General features: G+C 38.4%; 1 protein-coding gene and 1 long non-coding RNA gene across 5 annotated transcripts in view; both read left to right on the plus strand.

Moving 5' to 3' along the window:
• The first annotated feature begins 9192 nt into the window (after window positions 1–9192).
• Window positions 9193–16031, plus strand: LOC124901753 (uncharacterized). Its single transcript, XR_007060553.1, has 2 exons — window positions 9193–9499; window positions 14875–16031. It is a non-coding gene; the product is annotated as an uncharacterized LOC124901753 (long non-coding RNA).
• AKR1D1 (aldo-keto reductase family 1 member D1) overlaps window positions 20643–26914 on the plus strand; it is a 41847-nt gene continuing 35575 nt past the window's right edge. For all 4 annotated transcript variants that reach the window (NM_005989.4, NM_001190907.2, NM_001190906.2 and 1 more), the window contains exon 1: window positions 20643–20795. In NM_005989.4, the coding sequence (NP_005980.1) occupies window positions 20703–20795 (93 nt within the window). In that variant the 5' untranslated portion in view covers window positions 20643–20702. The remainder of the gene's footprint in view (window positions 20796–26914) is intronic.

Below are 26914 nucleotides of genomic sequence, written 5' to 3' on the forward strand. Positions count from 1 at the left end.
AGTGTTTGGTTTTCTGTCCTTGCGATAGTTTGCTCAGAATGATGGTTTCCAGCTTCATCCATGTCCCTACAAAGGATGCGAACTCATCCTTTTTCATGGCTGCATAGTATTCCATGGTGTATATGTGCCACATTTTCTTAATCCAGTCTATCATTGATGGACATTTGGGTTGGTTCCAAGTCTTTGCTATTGTGAATAGTGCCGCAATAAATATACGTGTGCATATGTCTTTATAGCAGCATGATTTATAATCCTTTGGGTATATACCCAGTAATGGGATGGCTGGGTCAAATGGTATTTCTAGTTCTAGATCCTTGAGGAATGGCCACACTGTCTTCCACAATGGTTGAACTAGTTTACAGCCCCACCAACAGTGTAAAAGTGTTCCTATTTCTCCACATCCTCTCCAGCACCTGTTGTTTCCTGACTTTTTAATGATCGCCATTCTAACTGGTGTGAGCTGGTATCTCATTGTGGTTTTGATTTGCATTTCTCTGATGGCCAGTGATGATGAGCATTTTTTCATGTGTCTGTTGGCTGCATAAATGTCTTCTTTTGAGAAGTGTCTGTTCCTATCCTTCGCCCACTTTTTGATGGGGTTGTTTGATTTTTTCTTGTAAATTTGTTTAAGTTCTTTGTAGATTCTGGATATTAGCCCTTTGTCAGATGGGTAGATGGTAAAAATTTTCTCCCATTCTGTAGGTTGCCTATTCACTCTGATGGTAGTTTCTTTTGCTGTGCAGAAGCTCTTTAGTTTAATTAGATCCCATTTGTCTATTTTGGCTTTTGTTGCCATTGCTTTTGGTGTTTTAGTCATGAAGTCCTTGCCCATACCTATGTCCTGAATGGTATTGCCTAGGTTTTCTTCTAGGATTTTTATGATTTTAGGTCTAACATTTAAGTCTTTAATCCATCTTGAATTAATTTTTGTATAAGGTATAGGGAAGGGATCCAGTTTCAGCTTTCTACATATGGCTAGTCAGTTTTCCCAGCACCATTTATTAAATTAAATTAAATTTCCTCATTTCTTGTTTTTGTCAGGTTTGTCAAAGATCAGATGGTTGTAGATGTGTGGTATTATTTCTGAGGGCTCTGTTCTGTTCCATTGGTCTATCTCTCTGTTTTGGTACCAGTACCATGCTGTTTTGGTTACTGTAGCCTTGTAGTATAGCTTGAAGTCAGGTAGCGTGATGCCTCCAGCTTTGTTCTTTTGGCTTAGGATTGACTTGGCAATGCGGGCTCTTTTTTGATTCCATATGAACTTTAAAGTAGTTTTTTCCAATTCTGTGAAGAGAGTCATTGGTAGCTTGATGGGGATGGCATTGAATCTATAAATTACCTTGGGCAGTATGGCCATTTTCACGATGTTCATTCTTCCTAACCATGAGCACGGAATGTTCTTCCATTTGTTTGTGTCCTCTTTTATTTTGTTGAGCAGTGGTTTGTAGTTCTCCTTGAAGAGGTCCTTCACATCTCTTGTAAGTTTGGTTCCTGGGTATTTTATTCTCTTTGTAGCAATTGTGAATGGGAGTTCACTCATGATTTGGCTCTGTTTGTCTGTTATTGGTGTATAGGAATGCTTGTGATTTTTGCACACTGATTTTGCTCACTGATACTTTCATTCACATCTGCTGTCCGAGGATTCCACTCAGACATATTTCTTCTCTTTGATGACTCAAGAGTTTGGGGTGGGGGGTGGGGGCAGGTACAGTGGCTCACGCATGTAATCCCAGCTCACAGAGGCAGGCAAATCACACGAGGCCAGGAGTTCGAGACCAGCTTGGCCAACATGGCCAAATCCCATCTCTCTATATATATATAAAAACAAAACAATAACACAAAAATTAGCCAGGCATCATGGCGTGCACCTGTAATCCCAGCTACTCGGGAGGCTGAATCAGGAGAATCGCTTGAAACCAGGAGGTGGAGGTTGCAGTGAGCGAAGATTGCACCACTACACTCCAGCCTGGTCAACAGAGCTAGACTCTGTCTCCAAATAAAAAAAAGAAAGAAAGAAAAAAAGAGTTTGTGGGGAATATCTGTGTTCCAGGTTTCTCTGGAGATCAGAATTCCTCTGTCCCTTCCATCCACTACTTCTGCATAGATTTATATAGACTTTAAATCTAAGTGAGTTCTATAGGAGCCTGCTTTTTTTGAGGCCATTTAACCCTACCTGTTGGTGTTTAGGGTTTCATGGAGGTTTCTTTGTTCCCAGTTGTATTGAAGATGTCTGTCGTCTTTTTTCTTCTGCCTTCCTAGTTCCCCTCTCTCTTATATAAAGACATTTGGGGAAATTCAGAAACTCTTCTGCCATCATAATCTTGCTGTTTCCAGCGATCTCTTATAAAATCTTAAGCAAAGTGGCTAAGGGAGTCCTTCCAATGTTCAGAGACCTGAGTTACATAATGAGTCACCACCTGGGCTGCATTGCTGACAATGAATTTATCCTCACCCTGAAAGTTTGGTACCTTATTTAAGGACAAGGCTACTCTCCACAATTATCCTGTTGCTGGGGCTCAGAAACCAGTAACCCAAGATACGGTTCTTTGACATGCTGAACTGGAGAAGCCTCAAGATCTCTCTGACCTGCCCCCCTACCCACTACGGCCCCTGCCGTCTCTCCCAAAGCCTTTATCTGTCTGACATCCAGACCCACCACTTTTTCCTCTTCTCCGCATAAAACCAATAGGGTAACCCCACCTGAACAGACACTTTCACAAGATACTGTACAAGTTAATCTCTGCTCCCTGATCCATTCATTCTCCCTGGTAATTTTATCAACAGAATTCCTCTTCTCTGCCCTCCTGTAATTTGTTTTGCCAGGATGGTGTATAAGCTTCTGCACCCCATTGGGAGATGGGTAATCACTCTGTGATTCTTCCCATGTATGTGCATTAAATAAATTCGTGTGCCTTTTCTCCTATGAATATGCATATTGCCAGTGATTTTTTTTCAGCAAACCTTCGGAGGACCAAGGGGAACTTATGCCTTGACACCCCTCCTCTGTCAAGCTATAATTTTCAAAGCATTGAAAATATGACTGGTCAAAGAAGCCAGGCCCAGTGGCTCACGCGTTCAATCCAAGTATTTTGGGAAACCAAGGCAGGAGGATCTCTTCAGCCCAGGAATTTGAGACCTGGGCAACATGATAAAACCTCATCTCTACAAAAAAAAAAAAAAAAAAAAATACAAAAATTAGCCAGATATAGTGGTGCAGACCTATACTACTCTCAGCTACTCAGAAGGTCGAGGTGGGATGATCACTTGAGTCCAGAAGGTCAAGGCTGCAGTGAGCCATGATTGTGCCACTGCACACCAGCCTGGGCAACAGAGCAAGATCCTGTCTCCAAAAGTATATATATAATATGAAAAGATGCCAAAAGTCTGTTTAACTTATCAATAAGAAGAGAAAAGAAGAGAGGGTAAAGCTAGTTCCAAGAGGATTCTAGTAACAAGGGTTTAAGTAATCCATCAGGAATGGCCTTTCAAAAATTTAGAAAAAAAATTGCTGGGTTGGATATAAAACTGATTATTGCCCCATAGGGTAATACAATATCATTTTGGGGTTATCTTTGCTACTAGACAAAATCTACAAGTCAACATGTAAATTCAAAAAGAAGATTTTTATCAACTAGTAAAGGGTACTAAAGAATTAAAGAATCCTGGGCCAGACACAGCGGCTCGCTCCTATAATCCTCACAATTTGGGAGACTGAGGCAGGAGGATTGCTCAAGCCCAGGAGTTCAAGACCACCCTGGGCAACAAGCAAGACCCTTTAAAATGTTATCCAGCATGGTGGTGTGTGCCTGTGGTCCTAGCCGAGGCAGGAGGCTCACTTGAGCCCAGGAGTCCAAGGTTGTAGTGAGCTATGATTGCACCACTGCACTCTAGCCTGGGTGACAGAGCGAGACCCTATCTCTAAAAAGAAAAAAAAAAAAAGAAAGAAACTATAGGCTGGGCACAGTGGCTCATGCCTGTAATCCCAGCACTTTGGGAGGCTAAGGTGGGCGGATCACAAGGTCAGGAGTTCGAGACCAGCCTGGCCAATATGGTGAAACCCCATCTTTACTAAAAATACAAAAATTAGCCAGATGTGGTGGTGGGGCCTGTAGTCCCAGCTACTTGGGAGGCTGAGGCAGGAGAATTGCTTGAACCCGGGAGGCAGAGGTTACAGTGAGCTGAGATGGTTCCACTGCATTCCAGCCTGGGTGACAAAGTGAGATTCCATCTCAAGACAAAAAAAAAAAAAGTACATGAAATTAATCAAAGGCAAACTTGAACAGAGGCCAGATAAAGTAAAACTTTTATGGCAGGGGCTGCAGAACAAATCAAACGTATCCTTGCTAATTTCAAAAACTACCAGTTCTTTACTGGTGACACATGATTCCAGATGACATGGTTGCTCTACTGGATTACCCTGAGGGTGGTGTGACCCCCATATATGATTTTCTTTAGGGATGGTTTAGAAATGGAAAAATGTTAACTAATTTGGCAATTACTTTGGATCTATCACCTGTCATCATAATTGGTTGGTGCTTGTCATCCACACAGCACCAGGACTTAAGACAAATGGAACTGAAGTCATCTTGAGCTTTTCATTTATTTTGATGTATTTGAAGCACAGGTATTGTTTTTAAGGAAATTACACGTTATGTAGGTTGTCTAAAAATAAAATGCATTTAAACTCATTTGAGAGAATACCTCTTAGTTTAACACATGTTAATATTTAAACTAAATCCATCCTGCAGCTGCTTCTTCCTGAAGACACCTGGCTGTAGGCCACTACAAGAAAGCATAATACTGTCATCAGATAACTTCTACAGTGGAAACTACTTCTGGGGCTAGAATATAAAAAACAAGAATCTTTTTTTATTTATTGTAGAGACAGGGGTCTCCCTATGTTGCCAAGTCTGGACTCGAACTCTTGGACTCAAGCAATCCTCCTGCTTTGGCTTCCCAAAGTGTTGGGATTACAGGCATGAGCCACCATGCCTGGTCTAAAAAACAAGAATAGAAAGTTTTAATTCCTAGTTGCAGTAAAGAGAAAGACCACGCTCATAGCAGTGACAGCATTGGAAGTGGAGCCTTATCCATTTTATCGCCTAAAACGGAAGTAATGACTCTGGAAGAGATTGCCAAGAGAATAAAAAGAGACTAATTCAGTTGGAAAAAAGGAAAAAAGAAACTAAGGCACTATGCAACCACATACACACACACACACACACACACACACACACACACACACAATCAAAACATACCCCTCACCTGGTATAAATGAGTTGCTGCTGCGTCTCCACTGACAGTTTTAAGCCTTTTCATTCCTCTTGTTTCATCGATAAAAATTATGATACTAAATCATTGGATTGTCCCCACTTTCTGCCAGTGCTCAATCCTGATCAAACCTCTGATTCTTGAACTCTCTCAGAAATAACCTTAGGCCAGGCCTGGTGGCTCATGTCTGTAATCCCAGCACTTTGGGAAGCCGAGGCAGGAAGATCGCTTGAGCCCAGGAGTTTGAGACTAGCCCGGACAACATAGTGTGATCTCATCTCTATAAAAAAGACCTCAAATATTAGCCAGGTGTGGTGGCATGCGCCTGTAGTACCGGCTACTCAGGAGGCTGAGGTGGGAGGATCACCCGAACCCAGAGAAGTCAAGGCTGCAGTGAGCACTCCAGCCTGGGTGACAGAGTGAGACCCTGTCTCAAATTTTTAAAAAATATAAAATAAAAATAACCTTAATGTAAAGGCTAAATTCTACAAGGAGCATCTTTTCACTCCCTGTTGCCAAGACACTCCCTGTTTCCCCAGAGTACGGTCTCCCTTGCTGCACCAAGCTCAATAAACGTAACCTTAACTACAAGATGTATTTATGGTAGTCTTTGATAGTGTGTGAGTGTTAATAGATGTGGAGGACCTTATCAAGATAAACCTGAGACTCTCTCTGCTATAAACAGATCTTTAACCCAGTAAGAATGTACATGCATTATCTGAGATCCTTTTTGTCTTTATCTGCTAGTACCCCCCACCACCTGCCTGACATTGCAATGTGTATGTTGAGTTGAATCTGAATCTGACCTCAGATTATTTGATTGAAGCCATTCAATGTAAGATTTATCTTGTGTTCCTAGAAATAACATCTCCAGAACTTTTTGGGTTGTCTGGTCATAAGTTTATTGTTGTTTGAGATAAAGATGTCCAGTCTTCTAAAACTTGCTTCTGTTTTTCTGGGTGATTATCCAGTATCTTGAGTCTCATTTTTCTGTAACAGGAAAAGTCTATGGAGAGAGGATGAGCATAGGCCCAGTGAGTCCATCCTCCAGGTGGCCCAGGGCTGAAGAGTTCCAAGGGTCTCATTAGACTAGTGCCCTTTATATAAACTTTGCCTCAGATCTCTTTTCCAAAACTCTTCAAGGATTGTTTCCTCAATCTTGTCTTTGTATCTCTGAAAATGTCTTTATTTTGTTTTATTTCCCCAGAGGCTTCACTGGTGATGACTTGTCTTTGGCCAGGTTTGGGAGACATGTAGTTTCACCAGCCCCACTCTAATCAGTCTCGGAAGTCTCCTGACTCTAAAATTCTGCCTCCTTTAGGCCAAATACCTACCTTTCTTCATGCTGTCTTGTTTCAGAGTCAATTCATGCAACTATCATTCCTTCTTTTTCTTTTCTTTCTTTTTTTTAGGTCAAGGGTAAAATGGATCTTTATCGATTTTAAGTGACAAATAAAAATGGTATTATTTATAGTATACAGCATGATGTTCATGGACCTATCCTTCCAACTGGCACAGTTTACAAAGACAACCCGGGATTATAGTGGCCACTTTTAGAAATCTTTGGTATAAATAAGATTGTTCATTTGAGATGCCCTTTAGGAAAGCAAAACACAATTTTAACTGTCCAATGGTCTACTTTTTCTTTTTTCTTTTTTGCTCCCAGCCCCACCTGGTCTGCTTTCTTTAATTAAGATGAGGAGGCTTCCAAGTGCAATTTGCCCTTTAAAACTACCTCTCTAAAATACCCTTTAAGTCCACTGATAAGTTTGAGAACTTAAAGCAGGTTCACGTGTGTCTCCGTCTGACTCCTATTCCCCTCCTTCTTGTTTGTATCTTTCCTTTTCCTCTCCAGATTTTGACTGGTGTGTGCATTTTAAACCTTGATCATATTCATATCCCTATGCCATATATTAATATTAATAGAAGACTTCTCAAACCCCAGAATGGACAGGAAAAGGTATATTGAAGAATTCAGATCTGTCATGACCACTAGCAATTATATTTTGATAAGATCAGAAGATACAAAAACTTGGTGAAAAAAATAATTAGCTTAATCATGAGAAGGATTTACAAATTAATGAATTTTTAAGGGAAATTTAATAATTTTTTTCAACAAAGAGACCTGTCAATATTTTAAACAAAGACATTACGGGAAAATTAACAGTCCTATCCTAATTAAAAGGAAAAGCAAAAACATTAAACTTGTAAAATGTGTTGTCTTTTACAATTTCATCTTGCTAAAAGCTTGGAGTTTAAAGGAAATAATGAGAGATTTAATTGTGAGTTAAGCTAATGTCATTGGTTAGGGTTACAAGATTTAAAAAGTTGACTATACAGAGCTTTTGGCATAATTTAGAGTCAAATTTAGTTATTAATGCAGATGTTTATAAATTATATTTTAAAGGTTTATGTAATATTCTTGGTTAAAAAGGTAAATCTCAGATTGAGTCAATATTAACTCCAACAAACTAGAGTTAATATTGGTTTAGAGACAAATAATATTGATTGAGAGATAACACTGTCTTTCCCCAGGTTTTGTCATATGAGAATTTTGTTAGCACAATATTTTCATTTGTGCAAGACTGAAGTTTCTCAAGATTAAAATTTCCAAAATTCCTTTCGTTGGTCAAGTAAATATGACAAAAATACAAAATCGTATTCAATTAATTGAAATGGTCATAGCAGATGTCTTTTTAAAGGGTTTAATATTGTGACATTTTTATACTGCTACAAATTATAAAGGCTTAATGTGCTGGCTAAAATTGTAATTTCCAGATCCTTAATTAGCTTGGTACCTTAGATAAAAGTTAAATTTAGCTCATTAATAAGTTATCACTGAATGCCCAAAAAGTATATTAGTAAGAAAAAGATACAGAAATTTAGTCACTAAACATAGTTTTAATTTGCCATTACTTCTTAAAATGGCTAAATTAAAAGTTTGTGTAAATGCTTTTAGAATAATGTCATATATTTATTTTTGCCACTTTATATTTGAGTTAATAATCTAACATGCGTATTCACTGAAAAAAAAGGCAATTCTTGGCTTCATGTTCTTTAATTTTCTTTTCTATCTAAAGGCAATAGAATTATTTTTGTTAAATATGGCAATTAATGTAAATGGTATAATAGATACAAAAATATGTAAAATATATAAATATATAGGTGGTACAAAAAATGATTTCTCTATTCAGGAAATTGTTGCAGAAAATTAAAATGGTAAATTCAATATAATAAGCATTATTTTGTTTAATATATTTATAAAATTATATATTAAGACTAAAGTTAAAATCTTTATGTTTATCATCTGTTTGTGTATTTATCTCTCTATGTCTAAATTCTTGCACATAGAGCAGTATTAGTAAATTATTTACTACAATTTGTTACGTGAATAGTGAACCAAAAGGAGAAAATTATAATTTGTGTTTTTCTGTAAAATGACTCAGTCATTTTTTCTCACAGATGTACCTTTTTTAGCACTATAATATTCTATTAGCCCTCATTCCTTTGGACATGCTTTTAAATTATTTTAACAAAACAAAACAAAAAAACCCTCACAGCTTAAAAGAATTAAAAGTTTCTACTAATTATTGTTTCTTGTTATGGTGTGTTTTCAAATATTGCCTGGAGAGAACAAACATTTGGGTAACTATTACCTGCCTCTAGAGACTGTCTCATGTTTTTATACCTCCTCTTCTCTGAAAACTCTTCATTTTGCATTCCCCAAATTTAAGCCCCAAATTCAGAAAAATAAGAGGATATGGACAATGCAGTTAATTTACAGCTGGACTTTCCACCTGTAAACTCTTTGTCTCTAGGTCTCCTGGATGACATTTTGACACTCAGACAAGATAAGGGCAGTTTTATGATATGCTGGTTAAAGGGTAAAGCTCCCCCTGGTGATCCCGCACCCCCAAGGTCAGTTTCTTTACTGATGATGTGCAACAGGTCAAACCAGCTGAGTTAGCTAGGCTTGATTATGTGGCTCAAGAGAGAAAAATTCCTGCTGGGAAGCTTGGTTTTGAGTTGTAGCCTAAGCTAATGTATTCCTCACACAGATCTTGGCGGTTCAATCTGGAAACTTGGTGTGCTGCGTGTGAATACAGATGCTGGGAAGCTTAGCCTGGGATGCCATCTCTCTGACCCCTAATGCTTGGCTGAACTCTTCTGCTGCACTCGGTCTTTCCTCTGTAAATCACAGCATTGCATCACTATACGCTGGAGTCTGGTGAGTACTCACAGATGTCTCAGCTTGGAAAATCTTTTCAGTGAAGATGTCTTTTTATGACTAAGCTATCATTAAATTTCTCGAAGGGTTCCCTAGGTACCACAAAGATTTATTTTAAAAATAAGTAAAAATAATCAGATTTGTCATTCTCCAAATTTTCACCAATTTGAAACTATTGTGCAAAATTTAAGATGAAAGACGGGTAGCTTGATAAATCACAGCAAAAGTTCACCTTTCCAGATTAATTATGTATAAGTAAAATACATTAATACAAATATGTACCCATCAGTTTTGTACTTTTCAGGTTAAAAGAAATATACCTATGTTTAAATAGGTATATAATAGTTATATAATAATAGTTATTAATCATAGTTATATAATAATAACAACTGCCAAAATAACTATTAAAAGACTTTTTTCCCAGTATTTTAGATGTAAATATTCTTGTCAATTGTAAACAATTACAATGCACTTTATGGGATAAATTAAATGCCTTGGAGATAGACTATGGCATCATTGTTTGTCTCTCCTTCATATATAACTATCCACAGCTTTAGTACCTTGGACCCAACAACTCTCCTTCCCTACTCAAGCAAGAAAAATGCCTTGATTATTTAACCTGTATTAGGAAATTGTCAGTGCCCTATACAGACCTTTGTATATTCCCTTTGTATGGCAGGGGTTAACCTCTATTGACCTTCTTATTTGGAGATAAGGACAAATGCTTATCTCCAGAACTGCCTAGAGAATGACATCGACTCTTGTCAATACTAGGGAATGTATTAACTAAATATGTATTAATTAAAGGTAAATGATATTACATAACCATGGATCTGTGAGTTGTTTTCAGGGTAGCATGTACCAGCCTGTCAGCAATATTTAGTATTAATAATTGCATTTATAATTTCCACTGGTTTCGGTGGAGCTTGAGGGACTAAGTCTGGTCACATATTGGAATATGTCTATGCAACTAGCTCACTGTAAGACACACCCTCCTTGAGCAGGCTCTGGGCTTTCTGGTACCAAGGTGCTCACACAGGTCACTGGTGTTTTAATACCTGAAGACAAAGCATAATCAGAACAACCATGTGGTGTGAAAGTAAGGAAGTCTTCACCTGAGATCTCTAGACACTCCCAATGCATTTTCTTCTCCTGCTATTGCTTTATTTGTTGCCTGTAATAAAGTATAAACTGGGTCCTATGGATCCCTTCAGGAATCAAACACTTGATAAAAATAATTAATGTACCTTTTGATAACCCTAATTGAATGATGTTCATTGGTAGTTCATACTTAAACATAAAAGCTGGAGATTGTCAGGCAAGCTATGCTATTACTGATTCGAATTCACTCTTGGCATATAAGCCTTTCTCAAAAGTCAGTTGACTTCAGATAACTGAGTTAACTAACCTCAAGTGGATCTGCCAGTTAGCATAAAATGAAAGAGCAATTATTGGTCCAATCAATATTTCCCAGCAAGCTTTGGTCATTCTTTACTTATTTTTAGGATGGATTGAGACTTTTTCTTGCCAGACCATCATTAAAGACTTTGAATGCTTTTCCTTTTACTCAAAAACTGTATTGTTCTTATACCCAATCTTCAGGAAAATGTAGAGAAAATAAAGGATTACTAAAACTAAAAATTGTCAAAGTTCTAAGAGTCACTGGAACTTACATGTAAGTTCCTACAGTATTCCATTTACCTTCATGACATAGGCTCTCCCCTTAAGAGTTAATAACAGACCATGCCATGCATTTCAGAATTTTGCTCTGATCCTAGTCTTTGCCCCACTGCAAGTTGACATAACTAAATACTACATCTTATCATTAAACGGATACAAGCTGCCTTTTCAAAGTAACCATTTACACAATCTTTGAGCCTGAAACCTGGAGATTTTGTCTTCTGGAAGAGAAAGCAAAGGAAGATTTGCCTTGAGCTTTGACTAACAGGACTGTATCAGGTACTGTTACTAATTAACACTGTGGTGAGACTCTAAGATAGTAATCCCTGCATTCATATTTTCAGTTCAAAAGACATACATCCTTTTTCCTAGATCAGGGGACTTCCATTTCACTGGTAGACCTCAAGCTGAGAATTCTTTGAACTCTACCAGAAGCAGACAATCCTCTAAAGTAACAATTGATTCAAAACCCTCCATTGAAGCTAATGATTATGTAAACTAGATAGCTTTTACTAAAATCTCTGGAACAAGATTAATTTTAAGATAATTTAATACACTTTTCCTTTTGATTTTTTTTACTATGGATCTTGCCTAATAGCATATGTTGAAGCTCTCCAGTGACTGGGTCAAGAGTTCTCAGTCTGTTCTCCTATACATTTTTTTTTAAACTTCTAAGCCTCTGTGGTCTTTTCTTGTGGCATTTCAAGAGAAAGAAAACATTCTTATACATTTTTCTCAGACCTTAGTTACTGCTGTAAATCTGATTGGTGGATCAATATCCATTTGACCCCGCTGGGGGAAACATATGTCATAGATGTTTCTTTAAATATTGTCAAGATAGATGTTCTTATACAAATTTCTTCTAGTACTGAAATGTCTCTCACATTATGAGTCCCAACCTTCAACCTTGTAAAAATTGGACTTTACCTCCACATTACAAAATACATCTTATTAGATCATTAACTAAACCCAGGAACTCCGCTCCGCTCTCTGCAATGGTCAGTTGCTCTCTTCAGAGTCACTGTATCCTGCAGGAATTATTTAACTTCACTCAGAAAATATGTCCAGCATTAGGGTCCAATGATTAGTTCTCTGTTTTGAAGATACATAATGTTTATACTGTCCTTTGAGTCCATGCCCTACCAAAATACTATTCCTTATGTGTACACTACCACTGGAAACGCATCAAACAGTTTAAATTCATTACGCAGGGTCTGAATGGATAACAACATATTTCATCTTGATTTCCTCTTCACTAACCAAGAGGGAGTTTATGCCAGAACAAACATACATATCTACATATGTATTTGCATACCTTGGTGCAAATACATATGTACAAGAATAGACTCTGCTGGATTTTTTAGCGCATTTTTGAGATCTGGGTTTGGTTATCTAGTCCAGTGGATGAACAGTCTTCTACAAAAGTCATAATAATTTCTTTTTCTGGCAAGTGCCTGTATCACAGTTGTTCAATGCATCCTGTCTAGATTCTTAAGTGCTACTGTGTAACCACTTTTACATTACATGATGCAAACACTCATTCTATAATATTTGGTTGCTGCAAAAGTAGTTGTGGTTTTTCCCATATAAAAGTAATGGCAAAAACCACAGTTGCTTTTGCACCAACCTTAGAAGGCTCAGAAGGAACTGACACTTGTCCAGTCTAGAGGCAACCTTTCCTAGATAATCTAATCAGCAGGATCCTGACAATGCAAAGGTCTTGAACATCAAAGATTATTGTCCCACAGTCTGACTTTGTCTTTCCTGATATCTATCAGCAGACAGTGGCCTAGTTTCTACCACTAGGCTATGATGTTTCTTCCCTGCTAAACATAAATAATTTCATAGAATATCAATATTACATGAGGACTCTTCATGACCATGATGGAATAAGAAAAAAATAAGTCCATTCTGTAATTATACCTGAGCAGAGGTACTATGCAACCACAAGAATAACCAAATATCCCATCTTCAGCCAACATGGGTGACTGCTACTTTTTCTCCAATGGCAATGCTAGCTATGCTCTATTTATTCAACCTTCTAGAAATAAATTATTAAGATATCCAATCACTGTATTGGCCCAGTGTTAAGAGGGCACACATACACCCACAAAATATAGCTGTGTCCTGGAATCTTTCCCCAAATCACCTAAGATAAGCCCAGTTTCTACAATGAGCTCTTCCCATCTCCCTCTTACTAAGACTCCATGCTTCTATGTAGAGTGCAGTCTTCCTTGCTGCAGGGAGTTTATAAAACTAACTTCATTGGTTACATGTATTTTTCTAATGGTCCTGGACTGATGTATTCAACAAGTGATTGACTAAATGGCGCTAAAATGTCATCTAAAGTATCTGACTTAAGATATACTCTAGACATTTTTATTAACCTTTTTATTAATGGTAATAATTAATTATGCTAATAGTAATAATAAATAATACTAATAATTTAGTAAAATTTATTATTGATAATAGCTCTCCAGTAAACAGGTCAAATCAATTTTCATCTCTGATACAGTAACAAGCAAACATTTTTCTACCATCAGATCTACAGAGAGAAGAGTATCTAATACTGTGAGCATATTATATACGAAGGTTTCAATTTATTTTCATTTAATTATGACTAGTTTGGATTAGTCATTTTTGTAGTCCCTTTAAATATGTTGTCATTGATCAATGTATCTACCCTGTTATCACTTTATTGGAGGGAGTAGAGTGTAGTGACTAAAAGCATAGGCTCTGGAGTCAGACAGCCTGGCAGTTCTTCCAGTTACTAAGCAATTTTTGACAAAAACTGTTTTGGACCTCAAGACTCTTCCTATAAAACAGGAATAATAATATTACCCACTGCATTCCTTTCTAAGGGCTGCCATAACAAATTACCACAAACTAGGTGGCTTAAAACAAACAAACAAAAATTATTCTAGCACATTTCTCGATGCTAGAAGTTTGAAATGAAGACATCAGCAAGGCCATGCTCCCTCTGAAGTTTCTAAGGAAGAATGCTTCTTTGCCTCTTCCTTTCTTCTAGTGGTTGCCAGCGATCATTGGCATTCTTCGGCTTGTAGATGCATTACTTCAATTTCTGTCTCTGTCATCACATGTCATTCTTCCCTAAGCCTCTATGTCTCTGTTTTCTCATCTTATAAGAACACCAGTCATTGGATTTGGGCTTACTGAAATCCAATAGTAACTTATCTAATTATATCTGCAAAGATCCTATTTCTAAATATAAGGTCACATTCTGAGGTTTCAGATAGACCTGACTTTGGGGGGACACTAAATGATCCAGTATATTCACCACATAAGATTGTTGTGAAAATTAAAGAAGCCATGTAAAGTACATAGTAAATACCAAACTTAATCTTATTATTTCTGTCAATATAATTTTTATGGATTTATGGCCACAAAGAAAGTATAATTCACAAGCAATTTTTTTGTTGAATGAAAATAGGAGCTGTTTTAGGTCAATTTATTTTGAAAATATTAATATATAAAGAGTAACTTGAAACATTTCTGATGAGAAAAGCAATGTAATATTTAGATTCCATCAATTTAGTAAGGATGTATATAATACATTAAAAATTAAGAAACATGTGAGGGTTCTAGTTCCAAATAAGATGGAGTCCCCCACTGAATACAACTCTAAAGCCTGCCTTCTACAATGAGAACATTAACATTCTATGCCATTTAAACAGGACCCAAGGAGATTGAGGCTGCAGTGAGCTGTGACTGCACTACTGCACTCCATCCTGGAAAACAGAGCAAGACCCTGTCTCAAAAGCAAACAAACAATAACAACAAACAAACAAACAAAACCAGGACCCAGGATCTCATAACCTAACATTCAAAAAGTTCTCAATAACCAAAAGACAGCAAAGCCAAGATGTCATAGATGTTGTACATACTTATATGGTGAAAACTTTAAGGCAGCGATTACAAAAGTTTCCCAGGAAACAATCAAGAACACTCATGAAGCCAGTGCAAAAGTAGAGAGTCTAAGGAAAGAAATAAAGCATACTTAAAATAACTAAATGGAAATTTCAGAAATGAAAAATATATCTGACATTTAAAACTCACTGGAGTGGAAAGATGACTAAGCCTAAGAGACCTGTAGGACACCATCAGCCATACAAACGTATACATAATAGCAGTACAAGAAAGAGAGGAGAGAAAAAAATAAAACACTATTTTTTGAAGAAATAATGGCCAAGAAACTTTCCAAATTAGGTGCAAATCATGACACTACACATCCAAGAAGCTCAGTGAACTCCAAGAAGGACACAGCCAGAGATCCACAGAAAGACACATTACTGTCAAATTGTCAAAACCTGAAGACAAAATCTATGTAACAATAATATCATAAAGGAGTAGGCTGATGGAGTTTTTAAAGGATCAAAATGTTTGAATACTATTAAAACTGGGTTAGTATTAATTCAAACTTGATTGTTACAAAGTTAAGATGCTAATCGTAATCCCCAGGGTAACTCCAGCGCTATGGACTGAATAGTGTCCCCCTAGATTTCACAGGCTGAAACTTGAATTCCCAGTGTGATGGTATCTTGAGATGGGGCCTTTGAGAGGTAACTAGGTTTATATCAGGTCATGAGGGTGGGTTCCTCATGACGGGCTTGGTGTCCTTTTAAAAAGAGACCACAGAGCTTGCTTACTCTCTGTTTCTCCTCTTCCCCACCTCCCCAGTCCCCAACACACTGTGAGAACACAGCAAGACAGCCATCAACAAGCCAGGAAGCTCTCTTCCTGGCTCTTAACAGAAACTGAATTGGCTGGCACCTTGATCTTGGACTTCACAGCTTCCAGAACTGTGCAAAATAAATGGCTGTTGTTTAAACCACCCGGTCTATCATATTTTATTATGGCAGCCCAAAATAAGACACCCAGAAAACAATTTAAATATACAAAATAATCCTGCAGGAATTTTAAACACACAAACTGATTCTAAAACATATATCGAAAGTAAAAGAGAAAGAATAGCTAAAATACTTTTGGGCAAGAAAAATAAAGTCTGAAAATTATACTATATGGTTTTAAGGTTTATGATAAAGCTACAAAAATCAAGACAGTGTGGTATCAATGAAAGAAGAGACAAATAGATCAGTGAAGCCTATTTCTATGTGGAGTTCACAGAAATAAAGCAAAAAAAAAATCAATGAAACAAAGTAGAAAGTCATAGACCCACCAATATATGGCCTTTTATTTATTTATTTTATTTTTTTAAATATATGGTTTTAATGTTGAAATATTTATCATATTATAGTTTTTAGAAACTTGGACAATTATCAATAAAATCAGGGCTGGTCTTATGATTTACTAGAGTATATGGCTGCTCGCTTGCCTTTTATTTTTAACAATGGTGCAAAAGAAATTCAGTGAAGAAAGCACAGATTTTTCAACAGATGTAATTGAAACAATAAGCCATCCTTATTCAAAACAAAACAACTAAATCTCTTCAATTATACAAAAATTTATTCACGATGAGCCATAGGTCTAAACAGAAAATATTAAACTATATAACTTTCAGAAAAAAAACACAGAATTAAATTTTTGTGACCTGGGGTTAGATACTTAAAGCACAATACAAAGAAAATGACAAATAAACATTACCAAAATTAAAATATTTTGTTCTATGAAAGATACAGTTAAGAGAATGAAAAGACAAGCTACAGACTGAGAAAAAATATTTGCAAACTACATATCCAGTAAAAAACACACATCAGGAATTTACCAAGAAATCTAAAAATTCAACACTAAGAAGACAATTCAATTTTAAAAATGAGCAGGAGATTTAAATAGGCACTTCACCAAGAGGATATACAGACGGCAAATAAGCATAAGAAAAGGTGGGCCAGGCGTGGTGACTCATGTTTGTAATCCCAGCAATTTGGGAAGCTGAGATGGGAAGAGGATCATTTGAGCCCAGGAATTCAAGACCAGCCTGAGCAACATAGTAAGACCCCTGTCTCTACAAAAAAATTTTTAAAAACCAGCCATGCATGGTGGCACACACTGATAGTCCCAGCTGCTCAAGTGGGTAAAGCAGGAGGAATCACTTGAGCCCAGGAGGTAGAGGCTACAGTGAGCTAGCTATAATCATGCCACTGTACCCTAGCCTGGGGGATGGAGTGAAACCCTTTCTCTCTAAAAACCAAAAAAAAGGAAAAAAGAAAAATGTGTTCAACATCATCAGCCACATGGGAAATGCAAATTAAAATAACAATGAAATAACACAACAAATGTACTAGAAGGCTAAAATAAAAAATACTAAGTGCTGTCAGGATACAGAACAACTGCAACTCATGTGCATTGCTACTGGGGAGGCAAAATGGTAGTCATTCGGAATGGCCGTTTGGTGGTTTCTTATAAAGCAAAACATACATTTGCCACATTACCCGATAATCTCACTCCTGGGTATTTACTATAGAGAAATGAACATTTAATGTTCATACAAAACCCTGTACATAAGTGTTTAGAGCAGCCCTATTCAAAATCACCAAAAACTGAAAACAAACTAAACATCCTTCAGTTGGAGAATAGAGAAACAAACTACGGTGCAGATATATAACTGATTACTACTCAGCACTAAAAAAAATAATAAACTGTTGACATAAGCAACAATCTGGATGAATTTCAAAGGCATTATGCTGAGTGAAAGAAGCCAATCTCAAAAAAGTTTATATTGTGTAATTCAATTTTTATGATAATTTCAAAAAATAAAACTATGGTGGTTGAAAACAGTGATTTCTATGGATTAAGGGTTAGGGGAGGGTGTGATAGGATAGAGTTCTTTGGCTTATAGCACTTTTCAGTATCCCAATTGTAGTGGTGGTTACAAAAATCTATATATGTGTTAAAATGCATAGAACTAAATAGCAAAAACTCAGTAATAATAAAAATAACAAACACATGCTAATCAACATTTTAGCACACAAAGGTGCACAGTAAGCATTTGTTGTATCAATTTAAAAATGATATTAAAGACCATTACTGCTATGTTCCACATTGCCACAGCCTAGTTTAAATTACTGTGTCTAGCTGAATACTGAACATGTTATATATACGTTATGTGTTAATGTGTACATAAGCAAGAATGACTGTTGGAGGGAGGGCAAGTCAATTATAGACAAACTTTATTGCTGAAATACCTGGAGTTCAGTCAAGATTGTGATGCTCCCTGCACGGAATGCCAATCACTAAGTCAACAAGGATTGCCAGAGAAGAAGGCTTTAATCTAGTCCTGCAGTCAAGGAAAGTGGGAGTTCAGTCTCAAATCTGTCTCCCTGACTGACCAAAATTGATCTGTTTACATAGCAGGGAAGGTGCGAAAAGAAATTAGGGAGGGATAAAGAAGAAATCCTGATGAATCAGGTATTTGGTATCTCAGTATCAGGATGTGGTGATCTAGTGAGTTTCAGTCCCTTGCCTGAGGGTCAGTTTCCTGAGGAAAAAACTCAGTTAAGACATAAGTTTCAAGTTTTAAGACAGAGGGCACATTTCTATGTTTATTCAAAAATCCATAAATATGGGACAATTTGGCCAGTTTCAACTTCAGGACATTTTAACCATTGTGGACTCAGTGACCTGTGAAGTGTACAGGCCAGGGAAACTTCCTCTTTGCCTTCTGAAGTTTCACTGAAAAATCAACTCACAAAAGGCAGATTAATTGGAGAAAAGGTATTCAATTTTATTTAACTATATGTTTACACAGGGAGAACCACAGAGTGATTACCCACCCACAACAGGGTTTAGAAGCTTATTTACTGGTAAATCAGGTTATGGGAGAGGGGAAAAGAGGAATTCTGTTGAGGAGATCACTAGGGAGAATGAATGGATCAGGGAGTAGAGATTAACTTGTACATTACCTTGTGAAAGGGTTTGTTCAGGAAAGGTTACATTCTTAGTCTTACAGGGAGAGGAAGAAAAACGAATTGTTCCTTTTGGTGGGTCTGGATCTTAGGCAGATAAAGGAACTTCACTTTGGGAGAGGTGGTAGGGAGTAGAGGTCAGAGGGACCTTGAGGCTTTTCCAGTTCAGTATGTCAAAGTGCCATATTTTGGGGTATCAGTTTCTGACTCCCAACACATTCTTTGTCTTCTTTTTTTGTAATGGATCATGAGATAACAGGTAGGGGAAAAAGAACAATTGTCCTCCTTGGTGGGTCCATCCTATCTTTATGTAGACAGGGGAAAGTCTCTTCCAGAGCCCGTTGATCTCTAAGGGTCTTTACTTCAAAATCTTCATTATACCAGGGAGCCATATGTTGGGGTGGAATTTCCTGCCTCCTTCAACCCCCAGCTCCAAATTTGGAAATGGCTTCTAATTTTTTTAAGGAAATGTCTTTTATTTCCTTTGGCCACTGTGATTGATTTCACGATGGATCCATGAACCAAGAAAGGCAATCAAGGCTAACAAGTTTCAATTTCAGGACTACTGTTTGAGCTACTGAGAAAGTAAAATCTCTTTTTCGTTGTTTGAGCTGGAAACCTTGTCACTCCAAGGACAGTCAGTAAACACTTTTCAATGTTAAGGGAACTGAGAGAGAGAGTTTCCTGAGAGAACAGGAAGGCAGAGAGACGAATGAGAAGTGAGAAATTGGTCCTGGCCATGTTATTGTTCCTCTAGTCCAGTTTAACTGGTGATAAGCTTAACTTGTGATAAAGATCCTAGATCCCTTTCCAGTCCTGCTGCATCCAAATCTCCCAGGAAGTCCTAGAAAATGTCTAGTCTCCCCTGAAGCTAGCCCTACTGCCAGAATTTGAGGAATATGAACCAATAAATTTCCATTATAGTTTAAGAGAATTTAAGATAGATGTGTGTATTAGTTCATTCTCACACTGCTAATAAAGACAACCAAGACTGGGTAATTAACAAAGAAAAAGAGATTTAATGGGCTCACAGTTCCACATGGCTGGGGAGGCCTCACAATCATGGCAGAAGGTGAAAGAGGAGCAAAGGCATGTCTTACATGGCAGGAGGCAAGAGAGCATGTGCAGGGGAACTGTCCTTCATAAAACCATCAGATCTTGTGAGACTTATTCACTATCACAAGAGCAGCATGGGAAAAAAACACCCCCATGATTCAATTACCTCCCACTGAGTCCCTCCCATGACATTGGGGATTGTGGGAGCTACAATTCAAGATGAGATTTGGTTGAGGACGCAGCCAAACTATGTCAGTCTCTTATTTGCCAACAAAAGCATCCTAACTGATAGAGGCCAGACAGATTTGTTTCTTTTTGTTTTTTCAATCTTTTGTTGTGAAGAAGTAAGCATAAACTCTCAATAGGTTACGTTTTACAAGCCTCTGATGAAGTTCAAAGGACAACCATGCTTAGGATTTCCAGGACAACCTGGAAAAAAAAACAGGTTGAGAAATAGGTGTGTTAATCTCCCTTCCCTCTGCTCCTCCCTCTGGCCTTCCTTTCTTTGATGGAATAGGCCCTAGGACACCTTTCTAAAAAGACTCCCTGTGGTGTTCAGAATCACTCCTACAGTCAGGTTCTCCACAATGGATCTCAGTGCTGCAAGTCACCGCATACCTCTAAGTGATGGAAACAGCATTCCCATCATCGGACTTGGTACCTACTCAGAACCTAAATCGGTAAGCTTATTTTTTCTCTCTTTGCTTGCTTGTTTGTTTCTTTTAACATTTGCCTATAGCATAATCTGCAATTTATTTTAAGCAGATCTCATTGACTTACTTTTTGTAGTAATGGAAGCAACCTCAATTTGTAATAATGAAAGGACTACTATTTACTGAATAGGTATTGAGCCAAAGGTTAAACTAAATCAATTCATGATTAAAAATTAGTTTGGATTAGAGAAGGAGAATTTTCTGCTTCCTTTACTGAAATTTAGCTAAATGCTGATTACTAGAGTGAACTGAGCCACATGAAATTCGTGTGTTTATGACTTGTGTTTTTTTTATATGAGATAATTTTTAGTTCAGTCTAACAAACACCTAGTGAATACTTGCCATGCACTAAGCACTAGGCGATAGAAGTGTCATATATGAGGAAAACAATGTCTCTGTTATCTAGGGATTAAAAATCAAATAGAGGGGGCAGATTCTTGACAACTAATTGTAGAATGACCAAGATAAGGATCAATGCTATTCTAGAACTCTCTGTAAACAGTCTCTGAAAGCATATGTATTGGTCCATTCTCATGCTGCTATTAAAGACATACCCTAGAGACTGGGTAATTTATAAAGGAAAGAGGTTTAATTGACTCAGAGTTCAGCATGGCTGGTGATGCCTCAAGAAACTTACAATCATGGCAGAAGGGAAAGAAAACACGTCCTTCTTCATAAGATGGCAGCAAGGAGAAGTGCTGAGCCAAAGGGGAAAAGCCCCTTATAAAACCATCAAATGTCATGAGAACTCACTCACTATCCTGAGAACAGCATGGAAGTAACCTTCCCCATGATTCAATTACCTCTCCCTCGGTCCCTCCCACAACATGTGGGGATAATGGGAACTACAATTCAAGATAAGATTTGGGAGGGGACACAGCCAAACCATATCAGCATAGAAATGGAAATAATTAAATTTGACCATGAAGATTGAAATGGGCTTCCTTTAAAACATAGTAAAGTTTCAGCTTATGAGAATATCTGTTCCTTGTTGCAGTTCAACATTAAATGCTGATTACGAGAATAAATAGTGACATGTGTAGAAATGCTACTGAAATTTGAGTGGTCATGTATGAATGAACTATTTGAAGCTGAGCATGAATGTACCAGACAGAGAAGCACAGCTAAAGCAGGACATTTTGGCAATACGAAGTATAGAGACATTTTAGTTAGACAGAGAAGGATATATGATATATCCAGTGAATGCCAAGCCCATAGTGCCTGGCACAGGGAGTTAATGGTGATGGCAGCTGAATCTGAAAATGCAGATTAAGACAGGGATTACCAAGGACCTTGAACACCATGCTAAGGAGTTGGAACTCTGTTTGTTTGTTTAAGGCAGGGTCTTACTCTGTCACCCAGGCTGGAGTGCAATGATGCAATCTTGGCTCACTGCAACCTCTGACTCCCAGACTCAAGCAATCATTCTGACTCAACCTCCTGAGTAGCTGGGACCACAGGCAGGTGCCACCATGCCCAGCTAATTTTTGTATTTTTTGTAGAGAAGGGGTTTCATCATATTGCCCAGGTTGGTCTTGAACTCCTGGGTTCAAGCGATCCGCCCGCCTCAGCCTCCCAAAGTGCTGGAATTATAGGCGTGAGACACTATGCTCAGCCAGGAGTTGGAACTTCGTTCTATAGTAATGAGACATCATCTAAAGTTTAGAAGCAAAGAAAGAGCATCACTAGATCTGTGTTTTTGAAAGATAAAACTCAGGTTGTAGCATGGAGAATGGAAGGCAGATGAGGAGAAATAAACTACCCATAGCAAGAGTAGTTAAAACTTGGATCACAATCCCACATTCCACTTCAATTGCACACCTCCCTTGTTTTTGGTAATGCAATGGAAAATTACTCTTGGAACAATTATATGAGTTTGATCCTTGGCCCCTTTCTCTTCTTTCTTTGCACAATGTCTCTTTATGATCTCATTCATAATCTTGGCTCCAACCACATATATGCAGAGATTCTCAAAGCTATATTCTCTATTGTTTGTTATCTCTCCCCCATGTAAGTCCCTTACAGGAGATAACTATTGTTCAAAGATGAAAGAAATGATGAGGAAGTCTAATTATGGGGTACAAGCTATGGAGAAGGCATGGCCTAGAAAGTTAGGTGGGGGAATATTCCTTCCTGAGTGGCTCTGGTTGAGACTGCTGTAGTTGCAGCAAGTTTTCAGAATCTGAATGAGCCATGGGGCAAAGGAGAAGTGTAGTCCAAGCTCTTGGTGAGTACCTAGGAGAAGCCTAAAACACCCACTACATTTTGCCCCTGAGCAAAGGGAGGTGGGGGTGCAGGGCTCAGAACCCATTTCTCAGGAATGTGCCATCCTTTAAACATTCCTTTTATTTTATTTATTTTATTTTTATTAGAGGCAGGTTTTTGCTATGTTGCCCAGGCTGGTCTCAAACTCCTGGGCTCAAGTGATCCACCTGCCCCAGCCTCCCAAAATGCTCGGATTACAGGCGTGAGCCATGACACCCGGCCCTAAACATTCCTTACTTTCTCTCCAATGCCCATAGAATTCCCCTTTTCTGATCACCCAGGGAACTTTGTTTCACCTGGGGAAAACAAAGCCTTGCTCTTATACCAAGTAATTTTTTCAGATCTGGTTTTAAGCTGAGGACAGGGTGAAGGTCTCATAAGCTCTACCTAAGGGGACCAGGGGCCAGGCAGAAAGCATAAATGAGTAGTTTCAGAGAGTTAAGTCTTTTCTCCATTTTGTCCTACTTCCCCATTCTGATACTAGACATGAGGGCAAGCAATGCCTTATTTTCCTCTTTATTTCTACAAGAAAAAAGAAAAAACACAAGCAACTAACACTCGGGGGACTATTATTGAGAATATAATAGACATCACACTACAAGAGGGTGGCAGCTTGTCCTCCAGTACAGCCAATCATCATGAATAATAATCCAGTTGTTGGCCAGTCTTCTAACACTTTTTGGAGAATGCTGTAAAGTAATTATTAATTTGTAAGCAACAGCAACTCATTCAGATTTTGGATGACATCTGGATGGCATGCTGTCTTGTCCAACTTGTGTCCAATCACAAATGTGCCAATTACATCTTACAATGGATTTCCACTGACCCACCCAAACTTACGTTGTAGTGGATCTTATATAACCCAGCTCATAATGGGCAGCTCTGGCCACACAGTCACATCATGTCCCATGGTCAGATGTACTATCTCTACAGGACTCAGCAGCAATGTCAACAATGTAGATGGCGTGACTTGCTCCAGAACCCTACAGGCTTACCTTGTAATTCTCCAACTGGGGCTTGCCATAAACTCCATGCCACATGTAAACAATAGGGCCTGCTGGGTCATATGGCCCAAGTGGCAGGGATGCTTGTGGTAAAGTCTGGAGTTCTGCTGAGCCCCTCCCCATTCTGGGCCTAATGAAAGCTGGTGTATTCATGTCACACAGTAAATGGGTAGGAATAGTACTGCAAGTATGGAATATGCTGCCTCTGGAGCCTGAGGGCGCCTTTTGGGTACTGTGCTTCCTTCTTAATGCTTTTCCTAGTATACAGCCATACCTATGACTTTATCTTGAAAGAACTTCCATCAGCCTTCCAATAATCCATTTTTTAAAATTCTTAATAGAGACGAGGTATCTCTATGTTGCCCAGGATGGTCTGAAACTCCTGAACTCAAGCAACTCTCCCACCTTGGCCTTCAAAATTGCTGGGATTATAGGCATGAGCCACTATGCCCAGCCCAATGATCCATGCTGACTGCTTTGGTTTCTTTAAATTATGCAATGCACTTGTTGGCTGCCTATGTAACTTGCCTTTAGGGTGGGGGTGCCAGATTTAGCAAGTAAAAATATAAGATGTCCAGGTAAATTTGAACTTCAGATGAACAATGAATAATTTTTAAATATAAGTATGTTCCATCCCATTTAATATTTGGAATATGCATATACAAAAAAGTCTTGCCCATTTGAATTTCAAATGTAACTGAGCATCCTGTATGTTGCCTGAAAACTCTAGGGATTTCCTGTCTAATTAACCATCTCTGCAAAGCATCGCTGTGGGTTATGCTCTTTGGATACCACTCATTTTGATAACAGTGCCCACTTCACTTCTGAAGTTAGTACTACCATGTAGCCTCTATTATTTTAAAATTCCATCATTCCTAGTTTTTAAAATAAGGACAGGATCTCACTATGTTGCCCAGGCTGGTCTTGAACTCCTAGGCTCAAGCAATCCTCCTGTCTTGGTCTCCTGAAGTGCTGATGTTAGAGGTCTGAGCCACCACACCTGGCCCCTAATTTTTTAGTAAACCTAGTTTTTCAACATCTCCCACAGTCTGCCTTGTCTACAGAGGACAGCCGTAATTGAGCTCAACAACTCTGGTGTTTTTGTTGCTAAAGCACTGCTGTCTCTTTGATAAAAGGAGTGTTCTCTGGGCCCTGCTGCAAAACATAGATCATCCGTGGATTTCCAGCCTTACATAGTATATCTACTATAGTGGGCTCCCTTCTCTGAGCTTCCTGAGCCCTCTTTTGACCATCTGCCATGGTATTTCTGGAATGTCTACTTCATGTATGTGGATGTCACTTTTTCCAAGATTTCAAGAGTTATGCTGGCAGTGTGTTAGCACTGTTTCCTGAGGTGTTAAGTCACGTATCAGAAGATGGTGTTTCCATATCAATAAACTCTCCTTTATCCAACTTGAAATTCCACCTTCCTCTTGATGCTGCACCCCAAGATCCACTCTCACACACACTCTCCACCTCCATTGCATGGTGTCTTGGTGTGCAGCTCCCTCAGTGTATCACCCTCTTTCTTCCTTTATCCAGCCAGGAGATCTCATAAGGGATAATATCCAAAATATAAAAGGAACTCCTACCTTTTTTTTTTTTTTTTTTTTTTTTTTTTTTTTTTTTGAGACAGACTTTCGCTCTTGTTGCCCCGGCTGGAGTGCAATGGCACGATCGATCTCGGCTCACCAAAACCTCCACCTCCCGGGTTCACCAATTCTCCTGCCTCAGCCTCCTGAGTAGCTGGGACTACAGGTGTGCACCACAACACCCAGCTAATTTTTGTATTTTTAGTAGAAATAGAGTTTCACCAAGATGGCCATGCCCAGCTAATTCTGTATTTTTAGTAGAGACGGGGTTTCTCCCTGTTGATCAGGCTGGTCTCGAACTGCCGACCTCAGGTGATTCACCTGCCTCGGCCTCCCAAAGTGCTGGGATTACAGGCATGAGACAACAAGCCCAGCCAAGAACTCCTACCTTTTATATTTAGAAGGATATATTCTAACATGACTCCATGGCTGTGAAATTAGTCTCCCTACCAAGTGATATTCACTGGAAGCCTTCTCTTGGAACAACTAATTATTGGTCTGGTGACTAGGAGGCAATATGCAGGTAGATCCTGCCTGGAGCACGTGTTCCAAGGCAGCAGCTTCTGCGTCATTTTCAAAGGACACAGGGAATGCTGGACATTAACCTGGAGGAGCAGTGCTGGATCATTTCTGCTGATTTACCTTCTTCCTTCTACCTAATTCCTTCTTGCTATGTCCGATATGCTACTGATGCGTCCATTTAATTTTAGATATCTTATCAGATTTTTGTTTGCTTGTTTGTTTTGTTTATAGAATTGCTGTGTTTGGTTCTTTCCTAAATCTTCTAGGGCACTTTTCATAGTTTCCTGTCCTCTACAGAGATTTTCAAGTTTATTTCTTTGTTTTTAAATTTAATTTTCTTTTTTTTTTATTTTAATAGAGATGGGGGTCTTCTTCTGTCACCCAGGCTGGACTGCAGTGGTGCAATCGTAGCTCACTGAAGATCTCACCTCCTGGGCTCAAGCAATCCTCCTGCCTCTGCCTCTCGAGTAGCCAGGACTACAGACAGGTGTACATCACCATGCCTGGATAATTTTTTAATTTTTGTTTTTATTTTACTATTTTATTGTAAGACAGGGTCTTACTATATTGCCCAGGCCAGTCTCAAACCCCTAGCATCAAGCAATTCTGCATCAGCCTTCCAAAGTGCTGAGATTATAGGCATGAGCCACCATGCCCAGCCTCAAGCTTATTTCTTTAATCAAAACAATCATAGTTATTTTAA

Source organism: Homo sapiens, chromosome 7 (assembly GCF_000001405.40).
Source record: "Homo sapiens chromosome 7, GRCh38.p14 Primary Assembly".
NCBI lineage: Eukaryota > Metazoa > Chordata > Mammalia > Primates > Hominidae > Homo > Homo sapiens.